General features: G+C 40.3%; 1 protein-coding gene and 1 pseudogene across 1 annotated transcript in view, besides 1 other annotated feature; one reads left to right on the forward strand and one right to left on the reverse strand.

Annotated features, from left to right (window-relative positions):
* On the forward strand, window positions 7,519–9,093 carry ASS1P10 (argininosuccinate synthetase 1 pseudogene 10; annotated as a pseudogene).
* Window positions 7,793–16,485, reverse strand: part of PRELID2 (PRELI domain containing 2) — a 606,358-nt gene continuing 597,665 nt past the window's right edge. Inside the window, exon 10 of the transcript XR_007058586.1 lies at window positions 7,793–9,755. The gene's annotated coding sequence lies outside the window, so the exon portion shown is untranslated. The remainder of the gene's footprint in view (window positions 9,756–16,485) is intronic.
* Window positions 12,347–12,848: an enhancer, noted in NCBI's record as "NANOG hESC enhancer chr5:144613102-144613603 (GRCh37/hg19 assembly coordinates)". NCBI's record gives its function as "activates a minimal SCP1, AML or CMV promoter by ChIP-STARR-seq in naive H9 embryonic stem cells {active_cell/tissue: H9 hESC(naive)}" and the evidence as "EXISTENCE:reporter gene assay evidence [ECO:0000049][PMID:30033119]".

The raw sequence follows: 16,485 nt of genomic DNA on the forward strand, positions 1-16,485 counted from the left end.
GGAGATACTGAGCATATATAACAGTGAGAGCTATACTAGACTGCAGGCGAGTAATGATTGACTTCCTTGTGTAAGTGACATCCGAGCTGAGAACTGTACAATGTGTAAAAGTAAAATAGGGAAGAGCAAGATTGTTGGAAAAGATAAGGGGACATGTGTTTCTTATAGCATGAGGAATGATTCTCTGAGAGACAAGAATACCAGAATAAAAAGAATAAAGAGAAAGGGGAAAGAACTGTGAAGGATGAGGTTGGAAGGATATATAGGGCCTATATTTTTATACATACATGGCAATATCAACTTTTACTGAAATCTTTTTCTGAACTATGTACCATTCTAAACATTTTACTTGTATTACTCACTTGAGACAAAACCTTATAAAGGAGGCACTATTATTTTCCACAGTTAGCTGATAAGGAAACAGAGCCCACAGAGATAAAGCTTCAGCTAGGAAATGGTAGAGCCAGGCTTTGAAGCCAGGAAATCTCTTTTCACAGTCAACTCTCTTCATCAGTACTCCATAAGGGCTTCTCCAACTTAGAAAACTACTGAAGAGTAGTGTCTGTGGGCTGCTGTTTATCACTCAACCTCTCTGTGCTTGTTTCTCCATGATGGACTAAACGCGTACAACAGTCTGACTTCTTGTGGGGATTTAAAAAATCAGTATACATAAAGCACTTAAAATAGTGCCTGGCATATAATGAGTAGTATAAGATGCCATTTAACATGTTACCTGTTGTTGTGGTGGTGGTTGTTTCTGTTGTTTTGGATAATAATATAAAGTTGGATGTGTGTGACTTGGTTTGATTTAAGTTTTCAAACAGTCACTCCAACTACATTGAGAAGAGTGGATTGGAGGCAGGCATGCAAGTAAAAAGAGGATCATTTATGAAGACACTCTATTGTCTAGGAATTAGATGGTGGTAGTATGGGCTAGGGTGGAAGAACTGAATATGAAGAGGATTGAATGGGGTGAATAAATATAAAGTGGTCAGGACTTGTTAAGAATTGGCCGCTAGGGAGGAAGACAGAGTTTGGGGTGTTGAGGATAGCTATCCAGGCTGGTGTGGTGCTTCTGTCCACTGAGGGTGGGAATAACGGATCGATACAGGTTTGGGGAAAAAGATCCCAAGTTTGATTTTGAATCTGCTGAGTTTAAAGACTTTGATATGTCTAAGAAGAGATATATAATTATCAATTTCTATACTGCTTAACTCTAAATAAAGGACACAAAGCTACTTACAAGGTACAAATTGATGAGTCCTATGTACCAGAAACTTCAGTGTATGTTTTACATGCCTTATTTCACAACAACCCATGAGTGTTTATTATTCCTCACGTTTTTCAGACAAGTGTTCACTTACCCTGGGGCCTCAATAGTCTTACTTCTAGTACTATCAGAAAATTTAGTCACAAACCCAGTGTAAGTTATCAGGCTAATTCTTGCATATAGCAGTAAACACATGGAGTTTACAGTGTAATGAAAAAGGCAAGCATTAAACAGGTGAATTAAACAGTGATGAGTGCTATGAAAAAAAGTTGAATGTGTTATAGGAATATGGAGTGGAAGATCTAGGTTCATCAGGCAGAGGAGAAATCAGGGAAGGCTTCCTTGAGGAAGTGACAACCAAGCTGAGACCTGAAAGACAAGAAGCATTTAGACATATGAAAGGGTTGGGTAGGGAGAAAGGAAGAATAATCAAGTAGGGAACATCAGGTTGTGTGAAGATTCAGATTCCATAGAGGATATGGCAGATCAAGGATCTGAAAGAATGTCAATTTGACAGGAGCAGAATGAAAAAAGTAAAAGCACAAATGTGGCTGAAGAGGTAGGTGGGGACTGGATTATATCAGACCTTACAGCCACTTGAGGGAGTCTGGACTTTTTCTTAAAGACAATGGGGAAGAAACAGTAAAAGATTTAAGATATTTTAGGAAATTTCTCTGCCTAGGGGACATCGCAGCTCCTTCATAGCTCCTTGCTATTTTGAAATAAGCAACTTACTTTTGATAGCCTTATTGGAAGGGAAAAGAGTAGGAACTACAAACTCCTTGTGGTTCTCTCTCTGTCTTTCCCTTTCTATTTTTGTATCTATCATTTCTCTACATTCTTATTACCTGCATGTTGCCTGCTCTTCCTTTTGGTTTTATTTTTTAAATGTTGCTATCCAGAGAAACACCTCCAATCTCTGTATGGATTCAGGTCTTTACCCTCTTCCATCCCAATTTCTGTGGTCCTTTCTCTATTATACCACTAGCAATAAAATTGGGACTCTTTAGTCTGAAAACATGTCTGTTTTCAGTCAAAAGAGAAAAGCCTGTTTGCTTGGTGAATGTCTTCTTTATTTTAACAAACTTGAGTCTAAACTGGCAAATATGGTTTTAAACATTAGGAAAATGTCGCATGTCATCTTAAATATCTAATGGAAGTCTAAACATGGTTAACACACACACATACACACACACACACACACACACTTTATTATTATATGTTGGCCATTCCTAGAATCTCCATAGAGTGTTTGGTCAAAATGTAATCAGCCCAGAGCACACCATTCTGGCTGTGACAGGAATTAAGCACGTGTCAGCATAAGCCATGAAACAATATACAATCACAGTTCAGAAATAAGCATTTATGGTATTGAATACTGTGAATGCAATCCCTCACATTTCTCTTTTCAATTATGAAAAATGCTACAGAAGTATGTTAAAGTAGTAGTGATTGAAATATGTTTTAGTTCTAGTTATTAACATAATTCTACCCAAGAAAAGTGGGCCTGCGAACCAAGAGCTTCTCCTTATATTTCCTCAAGTAGTAACACTTCTGAGTACCTGTACTTCTTTAATTCCCTTTTTGAGAAGAAACGAGACTAACTGTTGACCGTCACTTGGGGTAAGCCAAGAGGTGTTGTCTTCCCACTCTTACTTTACCACCAAGTCGCACAAACCCACAAAGATGAAACAGATGAAAATAGGGGTACATTTTCAAGGATTCTATGAATATTAATAGATATTAATATGGAAAAATTATTGGAAAATTAATATGAAAAATTATTAATATGGGAAAATATTAATATGGAAAATCGGAGTTCTGTGACCGTTGATGGCTTTCATTAACAGATATCTGAGTCACCTAAGCAGTCTTCAATCCCCTTGCCATGATAATTACTCAGGAGCCAAAAAGAGAGTGGGGGGGGAAGTATTTGATCTGCAGTTTACAGAACCATTCATGTTTATTAGAACTGACTTAGTGAATATTTTTATAGAATCTTGTATGAGGTTTTTATTTCAGTTACTTTTTTCTGTGTTAGGTGACTGAGTCAGACAAATGGAGGCTTAGAGCAACACTCTACTTAAACAGAGCTCTGGAGCCTTGACATAATCTGAAAACAGATGCAGGGTTGATCACAGAGGAGGGTCAACTCAGCTGGCAGTTTCCAGATGCAGAATAAAGGGGACAGATGGGACTCACCCTTCCATTGTCCATCTGACCCTGATGGGATGCTGACAAGAATGTTAATGCAGAAGTCTGTTCAGCTTCACTGCACCCTAAATTCATACTCATTTATATGAATTCCTATCTTAAGAAACAAAATAAGGCATCAATAGCTAGCATTCTGCCATCAGCCTTGACTGAAAGATAAGTTCTGCTGTAGTCTAGCCCAAAGAACTGGCCCATGCATGTGGACAGCCAAGGGTAAGTCTTGAAATCTTCCTTCAACCTCCTTCTTAGACCCTGGTGCCTTCCCAGACACTGGTGTTGGTCTGGGGAAGGTCAATCTCCATTGGAACACAAAGGTTTCATCTTACTCCAGGGTTATTTTTTGCATAAGAAAGCATTAAGCCTCTCAGATAATCCTGAACTTTAAACAACCGTGTCCAGTTTCTAGCAAATAGTAAAGGTTCAATAAAACTTATTCCATAATTAAACATCTTTTGAGAAGTTGTTTCAAAACTACATTTCTTGGACCATCAAGTACCAGCCTTAACTCCCTAGGGGGTCACAAGATGTGCCACCTTTTCAGAATACAGTTGTTACCAGCATGGTAGATCAAGTGGCCTTAGTGCCATTGTCTCAGAATAGACAAAAGTCTGAATTATACCAAGTGAGCATATAATCAGGACAGTCATCATTCATCATGTTGTCTTGTACCAGGCTGGCCTATCATCCTCTTCTGAGCCTTCAAGTATATTCTCTCGGGTTCACTCACATCCCACTCCATAGAGCCATAAATTTATGTCTCATGATACAGACAGTGAGAAAGACAAAGGAAAAGAAAACCTAAATAGGAAAAGCATGCTTTTTTCCCATTAATCTGCTTATACAATCTACCGTGGTTCATGGATGCTCTACTGTGGGGTCAGGTCTCAGGGACATCACCTGTCTGGAATCAGCTAACCGAAACACAGAATGAAGCTAACCAGAACATAAAATGAAGCTAACCAGAACATAGAATGAGAACTTGGAACAAGACCTATTCTCTCAGGAGGGACTGTCCCCAGTCAGGAGTCATTAGGAAGTCCAACACAGAGTATCTGGCCAGTTGAGTGAGTGGAATGTGGTATCAGAGTAGACATAGGTTTCAGGAAGTCAAGAATGCCAGACTGCATGGAGAAATCTAATAACCTGTGACTGTTCTGGCCTCTGGACCAGGTTCTGAAGCAAATTTACATTCTTGGGAAGAGATTAGAGGGAAACCAATACAGAGCTCTAATCCTAGAGGGACTAAACTACTAGATGGATTTTCAGGACTAAGACTTAGGAACAATCCAGAAACCCAGTAATATAAACTGAGTACAATGAGGCAGCAGAATCCAGAGAGCAAGAAAAAGGCCCAGTTATCATTAGAGCTAGCCTCAAGCATGAGTTGAATCTAAATCCTAGGAAGGATTAGGCTAGATATGGGTAAATGATTCTTTTCTTAGGTAAAAAATTGGGGGAAGACATAGCTTGAAGGTGATAGTGTCTCTCACAATAAAGAAAAAAGATATGCAAAGTTTGGAACCAGGCTTGATGGGTAGGGGAAAAGAGAGAGAACAATGTTTCTTTTCTTATGCTTTCTTGTTTATGATTTTAAGAGCAAATTAATAAAATACCATGTTTTAAGCTGGGAGCAGACTTCCACAGGAATGCCCTAATTTAATGCTTCTTAAAGCAAGCTGTGCATCAGACTCGCCTGGGGAGCTGATTAAAAGTGAAGGTGTGCAGGCACCAGACCAGATCTACAATTCAGAATCCCAAGGGGCCTGGGAATCTGTATTTTCTGTTATTTTATTTTATTTCTTCAACTTTTATTTTAAATTCAGGGGCTACATGTGCAGGTTTATTACTTGGGTATATTGTCTGATGCTGAGGTTTGGGGTACAAATTATCTAGTGACCCAAGTAGTAAGCATAGTACCCAGTAGTTAGTTTGTAAACCCTTGCCTCCTCCCTCTCCCCTCTAGTAATCCCCAGTGTCTACTGTTGTCATCTTTATGTCCATGCGTACTCAGTGTTTAGCTGTCACTTATAAGTGAACATGCAGTGTTTAGCTTTCTGTTCCTGTTAATTCACTTAGGATGATGGCCTCCAGCTGCATCTATGTTGCTCCAAAGGACATGATCGCATTCTTTTTTTATGGCTGCATAGTAGGAATCTGTATTTTTAACAAGATCTCTTGGTGATGCTTACACAAGGCTAAGGTGGGATGCCATTCCCTAACATATCAGGAAAAGTTACATACAACTCGTAAGGAATAGAAAATTTCCAAAAATTAAAAACATCACCATTGCATGATCCATGTGTCTGCCACACCATAAGGTCTGAAATGGTTAAAATTTACTGGCGTTTCATTCTATCTCTGTCTCTAACACACACACTTGTCCTTTAAAGTAAATTTCCCACTTAATCTTTTCTGTACTGATCTGTTAAATATTTGAACTCAATTGTTGAAGTGATTATTTGAAATTTGCATCTGGTATTTAAGATCTCCAACTGAATAAATACCATGCTGTTAATCAAACAAATTCATTGTGAAAAGGTAAAAACATGCTCTGTATTAATTTCAGTAACTATTTCAGGCATTCGCCAACAAATAAATACCCAGTGTAAGTTAATCATCTAATCCAAAGTTCCCAAAAGTTCACAATCAAATAAACCAAAACCCCAGCAATGATAGATTCTTGTAATTATCTTTATCACGTTAATGTCTGTGTATAATTACTCACAATATAAGATTATGTGAAAACAGTCAGCTCTGGGACTGGTTCCCGAAACAACAAATGCTTTATCTTATAAATTAATAACAACAATTAGCACTTTACAGACCTTTTCATCCATTGGTCTCATTGCAAAGGCGAATTAATTTGATTGTAACATAACTTCCTGGAACAAAAGCATCATCCTTGAGATTAAAAAATGCATTTAAGTCATTGTCATGATGAGAATCCATTTTTTGGTACAGTTTCTTTAAAAAATGTGTTTTCCAATTATAACCCTATCCCTTAACTGCATTAAAAGGCAAAAAGAAAAATGTCTTTGGAGAAAAAAATATTTCATAATTTTATTTCATTTATTATTATTATTTTTGAGACAGGGTCTCACTCTGCTACCCAGGCTGAAGTGCAGGCTCAGCTAACTGCAGCCTGGCAGCCCAGGTTCAAGCAATCGTCCCACCTCAGCTTTCCAAGTAGCTGAGATTACAGGTGGGCGCCATCAAGTCCAGCTAATTTTTTCTTTTACTTTTAGTAGAGTCAAGGTTTCACCATGTTGCTCAGGCTGATCTCAAACTCCTGGGCTCAAGCAATCTGCCTGCCTTGGCCTCCTAAAGTGCTGAGATTACAGGCTCACAGCCACCACTACTGGCCTATTTTGCAATTTTAAATGTATCTCTGGTGGGAAATAGGACTGTAAGCCAAGCCTCTTCACTATAAGATTAAGGTTCTGTCCACAATACCACCCAGAAAATGAGAATGTTGTATGGAATGTTTCAGAGAACACGGAAGCCACAGCTACTGCACATGTCTAGGAACTAATTTCTCTATCCAATTAGTCTTCACTCATAATGTCCCTTCTGAGTCCATAAGGAGTTCTCAAAACATCCTCCTCTCCTAAATCTTTCCTGAGTACTAAGAATTAGGCATCAATCTCAGTACTTGACACATTTCTTACCCTTAAAACCATAGAGGTTGACTTTTATGGATTTATTGAAACCAAAAATAATGTCTATATATCAACCATGCAAGCAAGATGTATGTTGTTAAACCTGAGGGATTCTTGTTAGAGCAAGGATACTATGCCCATCAGCTAAAGATAAGTCCTCACATGGTGTTCATAAGACTAGCTGGGCTTCCTAAGTATTCCCTCCTCCATACATGCCACGGTGTGATTCTGTACTCAGTCCCTGACCTCACAGCCAGCCCAGGAACAATTAGAAGTTGGAGGTGCTAGCAAGGGGACATATAATCCCTGACTTCAGCAACTCATCAATTTCTTTGTGTGAGTCTATTTTCTTAAAAAAAAAAAAATGAAGAGTCACCTGCTCTGTCGCCTGCCACCGCTGCTCGGGCCCGAGTGGTTCACTGCACCGTGAAGACAGATTCCAGACACCGGGAACTCACGCCTCCAATCCCAGACGCTATGTCCAGCAAAGGCTCCATGGTTCTGGCCTACAGTGGTGGCCTGAACACCTCCTGCATCCTCGTGTGGCTGAAGGAACAAGGCTATGATGTCACTGCCTACCTGGCCAATACTGGCCAGAAGGAAGACTTCGAGGAAGCCAGGAAGAAGGCACTGAAGCTTGGAGCCAAAAAGGTGTTCATTGAGGATGTCAGCAGGGAGTTTGTGGAGGAGTTCATCTGGGCGGCCATCCAGTCCAGCGCACTGTATGAGGACCACTACCTCCTGGGTACTTCTCTCACCAGGCCCTGCATCGCCCACAAAAAAGTGGAAACCGTCCAGCGGGTGGGGGCCAAGTGTGTGTCCCACAGCCCCACAAGAAAGGGGAACGATCAGGTCCAGTTTGAGCTCATCTGCTACTCGCTGGCCCCCCAGATGAAGGTCCCTGGAGGGCTCCCTGGAGGATGCCCGAGTTCTACAACTGGTTCAAGGGCCGCAGTGACCTGATGGAATATGCAAAGCAACACGGGATTCCCATCCTGGTCACTCCCAAGAACCTGTGGAGCATCGACAAGAACCTCATGCACATCAGCTACAAGGCTGGAATCCTGGAGAACCCCAAGAACCAAGTGCCTCCAGGTCTCTACACAAAGATCCAGGACCCAGCCAAAGCCCCCAACACCCCTGACATTCTCAAGATCCAATTCAAAAAAGGAGTCCCCGTGAGGGTGACCAGCGTCAAGGATGGCACCACCCACCAGACCTCCTTGGAGCTCTTCATGTACCTGAACGAAGTTGCAGGCAAGCACGGTGTGGGCTTATTGCCATCGTGGAGAACATCTTCACCAGACAAAGGCCCAAGGTATCTACCAGACCCCAGTAGGCACCATCCTTTACCATGCTCATTTAGACATCAAGGTCTTCACCACAGACCGGGAAGTGCACAAAACCAATCAAGGCCTGGGCTTGAAATTTGCTGAGCTGATATACACCAGTTTCTGACATAGCCCTGAGTGTGAATTTGTCCGCCCCTGCATCGCCAAGTCCCAGGAGCCGGCAGAAGGGAAAGTGCAGGTGCCGGTCCTCAAGGGCCAGGTGTACATCCTTGGCTGGGAGTCCCCACTGTCTCTCTACAATGAGGAGCTGATGAGCGTGAACGTGCAGGGTGATTATGAGCCGATTGATGACACCGGGTTCATCAACATCAACTCCCTCAGACTGAAGGAATACCATTGTCTCCAGAGTAAGTTCACTGCCAGATAGACCCCTGTACCATGAGGAGCTGGGGCCTCCTCAATTTGCAGATCCCCCAAGTACAGGTGCTAATTGTTGTGATAATTTGTAATTGTGCCTTGTTCTCCCCAGCTGGCAACCTAGTGGGGCTGCCAGGCCCCAGCTTTGTTCCGTGGTCCCCCCAAAGCCTGTAAACATCATCATGGAAGGGAAGGGTGTGGGGAAGCTGCGGTGGAGAGCTATAAAATGACAATTAAAAGAAAAAAAGGCAGGGCACAGTGGCTCACACCTGTAATCCCAGCACTTTGGGAGGCTGACGTGGGTGGATCATGAGGCCAGGAGTTTGAGACCAGCCTGACCAACATGGTAAAACCCTGTCTCTACTAAAAATACAAAATACAAAAATTAGCTGGGTATGGTGGTGCACGCCTGTAATCCCAGCTACTCAGGAGGCTGAGACAGGAGAATTGCTTGAATCTGGGAGGTGGAGGTTGCAGTGAGCTGAGATTAAGCCACGGCACTCCAGCCTGGGCAACAGAGCGAGACTCTGTCTCAAAAAAATAAAAAAAAGAAAAGAAAAAAATGAAGAGTCTCTTGAAAAAGATTTGCCAAAATAGGCTAGTACTGTGTGATTAAAAAGAAAAATCATGGGTTAATACAATAAACATTTATGTCAGCATATCTGTGGGTCTGAAATTCAGGAGCTGCTTAAATGGTTGGTTTTGGCTCAGAGATTTTTCAAGAGGCTGTGCTCAAGATGTCAGCCCAGGTTGCCACCATCTGAAAGCTTGAATTGAGCTGTAAAATCCATTTCCATGATGGCTCACTCACATGGCTGTTGGTGGCAGGCCGCAGTTTCTTAACACATGGACCTCTTCATAGGTCAGCTTGAGTGTCTTCATGACAATGTAGCTGGCTTCTTTCTGGAGAGAGATAACAAGGAGAAAGCCTTATATACCCTTATGTCAAACATTACACACTTTCACCTCAACCATATTCAGTTCATCAGAAGCACGTCACTAAATACAACCCACAGTTAAGAAGAGGGAAATCAGAGCCCATCTTTCAAAGGGAAGATTAACATTGTGTTGACATATTTTAAAAACCACCACAGGGTCTATTCCAGGCTTTTGCTATATTCTGCAATGCCTGCATTACAAACCAGGGCAGGTCCTAAAGATGATCCACTCTTTTTTTTTTTATTTTTTGTCATGACTTTTGACATTATATTATTATTTTTTAATTCCACAGGTTTTGGGGGAACAGGTGGTATTTGGTTACATAAGTTCTTTAGTGGTGGTTTGTGAGATTTTGCTGCACCCATCACCTGTGCAGTAAACACTGAACCCAAAAGATTACCCACTCTAAACTGAATATAATGCTGATCCCATGCATGCCAGTAACAGTGGCCTACACTGAGGGAGAGAGTCAGGAAACAAGGGACAATGCAAGACACTATGGTTATTTTTAAGGCTTTATAAAGTGATTTAAAATCTGCACTGGCAATTTCAGGACAGTTTGTATAAATAAATAATAGGATTAAACAGTTGCACCTCTCATGGACAGTTTGACCGCCCACTAGAATTGAGTCTGAAGTGCTTCACAGGATATGCTAACATTGGACAGTCAACCTCTGAATCCCCCACACTTATCTGAGCACGTTCAACTTTACCATCTTCTTCTCTCTGCTAAGCTGAAATCAGTGTATTGATGTCTTGGTGGGAGAGTGGAACTAGAGTTGCTAAACTATTCCCTGGATGGAAAACTGAAGAGAGAAGGTGTCTTCTTGTTCCTATGAGTCAGGATATTTAAGTCAAACTCTGCTAAATATTCCTCTATGGAGCAATGGAGGAGACATCAGCCCCAAAATGAATATTCTTCTCTGTCCACTGTTTTTGTGGCTTACTCTGCTTGGATGTTGCTCCCAGAATGCTGTATTCAGGGAGTAATTTAGAAACCTCTCTCTCTGTGTCTTGCACACACGCTCACTCATGCATACACCACCCTAGCTAATGTATCAGATTTTTTAAAAACACATTGAAACTTTTAGGACACTAGTGTCTCGTGTAGAGGTTAATGGAACCATAATATATCCTTGGTTATGCTGAGTGACGCCTTAGTGAGATGTCTAGCATTCCCAGAGTACAGAAAGTATCTTTTCAAAAGTAATAATGATGTTGTTGATGATGATAATAAAGTGTATATTATATTCCAGAAGTTGTATTAGCAGCTTAACATACATTCTCTTATTCATTTCTCACAACACTGAGAGGTGAATAATATTATTGTTATGCCCACTTGACAAATGAAGAAACTGAACCTTGAAATTCAGTGGCTTGCCTGAGGTCAGCCAGCAAATAAGTGGGGAAGTAGGGCTTCCAACCCAGGAAATCTGAGGCCAGATTCCACACTGGTACCTAGCACTGACCTTAGAATGAGTGCCCCAGATGATTACTTAGTAGAGGAGCGAATGGATGAAGAAGGAAAAGAAGAGTAAGGTCTTGTTGAGTCTTTCTCTCTAAACAGTATCATGGCCACCAATTATAAGGCTTGATCACTCGTTATTTGGACATATATTTTTGTGTCTCAACTAGACTGGCAACTTAATGAATAAATCTTGTCTCATGGGACTATCTATTCCCTCCTGGGTAAATAGAAAATTCTGGATAAATTACCTCTGTAATAGAAAAAAATTCATGTGACTCAGAAGTCTCAGAAGACTATATCACCTCTTCATGTTCAGTAATTTATTCTTTATTTCTGAATTTCTTAATCTACCAAATAATAGTACCCACCTCCTAAACATTCATGAGTATAAAACTAAATGAGATAATATACATATTAAAAATAACAATCTATCACATAGTAGGCACTCAGTGTAATTTATCATTAATATTATTCTACAAGTTTCCATTGGTCCAAAATAAAATATATATGTATGTATGTATATATATATATACGTGTGTGTGTGTGGAGATATATATATACATATATAGATATTTATACTACTACCCCTGCTATTTGAAATAACTACCATTTGTTATGTATTTAATATCTTGCAAGCATTTTAGAAGGTGATTCTTATATATTACTAATTTTAACAATGGCACTCTGAGGCTCAGAGGGGTCTGCCAATTTACCCATGATCATACTGCTAGAATGTGCAAGAGGCAGAACATAAACTTAAATCTATGTGATTCTAAATCCAGTGCTATTTCCACTAAAATGAAGAACATAATCTGAACCAGGTTCTCTTTGTCTGCTCCTCTCAAAATGTGAAGTTCAGATTTTCACCACACATACATAGTATTCCAGGTAGGAATTCTGCTTGTCTCTCATTCCACAGGCATGCCCTTACATCCTATCCTGAGGTAGAACATTGTTTTCAGAGGAGAAATTCCACCTTTTTCATGAGGCTATTGATACTGCCATGCTGTCATTTCAAAGAAGACGGACTTGGAGAAGGCAGTCACCACAACCCTGTTGGACATTAGAATTCCTCACTGATGTGAGGAATCTAAAATCAAAACTAGAAAAGGTAATCTACTCTCATTGACCTACAGCTGAGAAGATAGAGCAGACTTGCCTCTTAAAAAGGTCGGAAATGCTGACCCAGCATCTCTCAGGACAGTTATGGAAAGGAGAAAGTCCATTCAGGCCACAGCTACCTGTCTTCTGTGGCAGTAAACATCGTTTCTATTGCAACAAAGGGCACCTAGTATCACCCCCTACTGAGTAATCACTAAGAAAGCAATTCTATTAACAAAGGCCACAATGTCAGTTTCTTACAAGCTAGCCTAAGCATTATGTATAATTAATAACTCCTCCTTTATCTTAAATCAGATTAATAAAGCAAGTGTGTTTTTAAAACATAACCAACCTTGGGATCTGAATAGGACAGGGGTAGGGGAAGTGTAATGTTTACCAACCACACTGCTTTCAGAGTCTTTGCATTTACGTTTATGCTACTTTTCTACAAAGCGAGTGGAAAATAGACACCCTTATTTGAATACTGATTATATTTACATGGAGTATTCTTAATTTGTTGTCAGTAGTGGAAGGTTATATGCAAGAGAATATAAGTTACCAATAATTTTTAATCATATGGCCTTCTGAAATCTGCTCATAGATACTTAGTAGCTTTACTTCATTTTCCTGACTCTTCTTATTCTGATAATCAAATCAGAAATATACTAATTCTTAGCAATATCAACTTTAACAACTAATAACTACTGAGTGCTTACTCTGGCCCAAACACTCACAATCTCACTCAACACAACAGCTCCATGAGATAGGTATTATTATTTATTCTATTTTACAGTTGAGAAAACTGAGGCTTAGAGGTTTTAAACCAACTTGCTTAAAAAGTCCTTACTCTTAACCAAAGGTAGAGTAAATACTTAATACCAGGTATGTCAGTCATTAGTCTCTGCCCTTAACTACCACACTAGAGTACTTCCTTATAAAGAAAGGAGAAGCCCAGAGCGGTAAAAAATGTTGCATTCTAAACATGTCTGCTTTGGTCAGAGTATTTCCTAAAAAGCGTTCCAACTCCCATTTCCATTTTCTTGGTGGCCTAGTCCAACCCAAGATCTTTCCTTGGTCTACAAGACAAGAACAAGCAACTGCAGTAAGAATTCATTTATGCCATCTATTCCATGAATACTTACTGAAGACCTAGTCTACATCCAAACCAGTAGACTAAACACTGAAGAAACGTTGCCTCAAGAAATAGAGTCTACCCATTCAGTGCACAAACTACACATAGAAGCGCATAGCTGGACACCTGGCTCAGAATGACCCAGGGGAAGTGTTATCACAGCTGAGACCTGAGGATGATGAGGGTATTTTCCAAGGCAATGTGTATTTATATGAGCTGTGGCCTCAGTATGTCCTCTTCTTCCTCCAGAATATTGAGACTGGTCCTCTTCGTGGATTTTGCAAAATTAAAACAACAATTCCAACCACCTATCAGTTAAGTAAAAAGAAATGTAATATTTTGTATCAAAGGGAAATGTAACAGGACCATAATATTATGATGCAGGAAGTGAAGATAGATGCACAACTTTCAGTGACCTTAGCAGACTATCAGCATTTCACTGAGCCATTCTCTTTCTTGTTATTGCTGCATAAATATGTATATAAAAGCATATATATATATACACAAGTAACTGAGGGTCAAACACTCAGCTCTTCAGAGTATAGAAAGGAAAGAGGGTCACAGGCCGATATTCTTATGGTAAGGTGACAGAGCCCCTCAATCCTGTGATTGTAGCATGTTCTTTTATTTGAGTAAGGTGTACAGTTGTTGGAGAATTATATAGCTGTCACTCAAAATGGTGTAACTTACTCATTGGTCAACCCAAGCATTAAGTACATTTGCTCCTTCAGTTGCTGTCAAGCCCAGAGGGAGTGCTGAAGTCAGCTACTGCCCTGGCTGGAAGGTCTCAGGGAAATAGAGAATTGGGTGCTTTCCTTGCAACAAGAATTGGCACTCAAATCGTCCCTGGTGGGGATGGCAAATTAGGATTAATGAGAACAATGTGTCTGTGCTCTTTTGCTGAAACATTGGTTCACTTCTGTTTCAATTGACACCCAAGATTATTTTTTTTTGCTTACAAAGATTTTCTTATTAGGGAAAAAAGTGGCAGATTTGCCATCCTAGAGCCTGCTGAATGACAAATGCCACACTTATGTGTGTACATAGGATAAGACGGTAAGCTTTGCAAATGTTTCCTAGCAGGAAACATATCCCAGGCAAAGGGAAGAGCATATGCAAAGAAAACATAGTATGTTCCTAACTTCAAGCAATATTTTTGTCCTATAATAAAGGTCCTGGTGAAGAATGTCAAAAGTGTTTAGAAACTAAACAGGAGCCAGTGCACAGGTCATGTAAAGAATTTTGGCTTAAGTTAGCTGGTCTAATTAGATCATGCTATTTAGAGTGTAGTGAGAAGTTTCCTAAAGAGAAGGTGCTAGCCCACAATCTGAGAACTTGAATGAGTTGCTAGAAGATGCTCGACCTCAGATTTCCATAGGTTCTGTCTTCATTGGCATTGAGGAAGAATCCTGAAAGGTGCTTAGTTACCAACTATGGTGCATAAATGGTTTATGCTGCCTTAATAAGATTACAAGGAAGGGATCTTCAGTGGTAGATTGCATGATCATTTCCTCTCCATCCTGTAAGAGGATGATATATCCTCAACCACAGCTGTGTCTCTTGCAGTATCCCTGCCCTAAAAGGAGTATACATCCTGTAAAGGAAAATTTTAAATCTCAGGACCTCCCAAACTTCTTATGCAAAAGGATGCTTAAACCCAGAGGAAGCTGAGTCATTGCAACACCCTCTTCCAAAGAAATAGCTGTTACTAACGCTGTGCATCAGCAAGATCCTCATGAAAAGGTAAAAGCCTCAGACATCTGCAAAGGGCTGCCCCCACAGATCATTCACAAGTAAATAAATTGCTGGCCTCCCATAAACAAGGACATGCCAACTGTAACTTTAGGTCTACGATCTAAGTCTAGCTCCTAAAACCCACATTGATAATGTTCATCACAAGCTTATTTTCCCAAGTGCAGAACAAATTCAAGACTCATTTCTTCAACCTACCCAGAGATGTCTGCATAGTTGACTCTTTTTACTTCCTTTTTTCTCTTCAGAAATTTACCTTATCTCATGGAAAATGTAGATTTACTGGGCACTGACCAAAGTCTCACAGGAATGTAACTATTCACCTTACTGCCCACCTGCCCCTCTTCCTACATGCCTTCCACACCTTTAAGGAAATGTATAAATACTAAACTTCCTGACAACCTCTTTGGAAAAATAGCCACAGTTATGTCTGTGGCACTTATTTTCCTCAGATGCATTCTAAAGCTGGCTTAGTAAACCTCCATAATTGAGACCTGTGTCAGTCACTCATTTTGGTTATCAATCCCCACTGCGTTGATGTTGGATTTGGCCTTGAGATGTGCTTTCACCAGAAGAATGTGAGGAACTTGACATACACATCAGAGCAAAAGTATTAGGAGGCATCACTTGTTTCTGCCAACCCTCTTGTTCTTCTGTCCTCTACCATAAAAACTGCATGTCCCAAATTGGGTCTGCTCCTTGAGCCTGTGTCCTGCCATGCAGCAATGAGGAATTGCAGAGCAGAGCCACAGCAGTTGACTCACAGTCCCAACACATAATGTAAGCCAGAAATACACTGTTATTCTAAGTCACCAAGACAGTGTGGTTATTTGTTACTGCAGCAAATCTGCATAACATATCTTCTAAGACAGCTCTTTAGATTTCATTGCCAGCCAAACAGAAAAATAACAAGCAAAACAAAACAAACAAAAACCTCAGGGTGGGATAGCTATATATGCCTATGGCTGAGCTTTCATACATGTGTCAATTCCTATGATTTTTTTAATGGTTGTCTGGAGCGCTATGACAAGAATGTTTGTGTAGTCATTTCTAATCTCAACAGGGAAAATTGGCATAATCAATTATTAATGTCTGCCACGAGCATGAAATTGAGAGGTGGTGACACAGATGACACGTTTGCTGGTCTAAAGCCGACTTCTCCCACCCTTGTAGCCTTTCAAAGAAAGAAATATTGTGTTTTCCCCTGTATCCATCATCTTTCCTGGTTCCTTCTAAAGATT

This window comes from Homo sapiens, chromosome 5 (assembly GCF_000001405.40).
Source record: "Homo sapiens chromosome 5, GRCh38.p14 Primary Assembly".
In the NCBI taxonomy this organism is placed as follows: domain Eukaryota; kingdom Metazoa; phylum Chordata; class Mammalia; order Primates; family Hominidae; genus Homo; species Homo sapiens.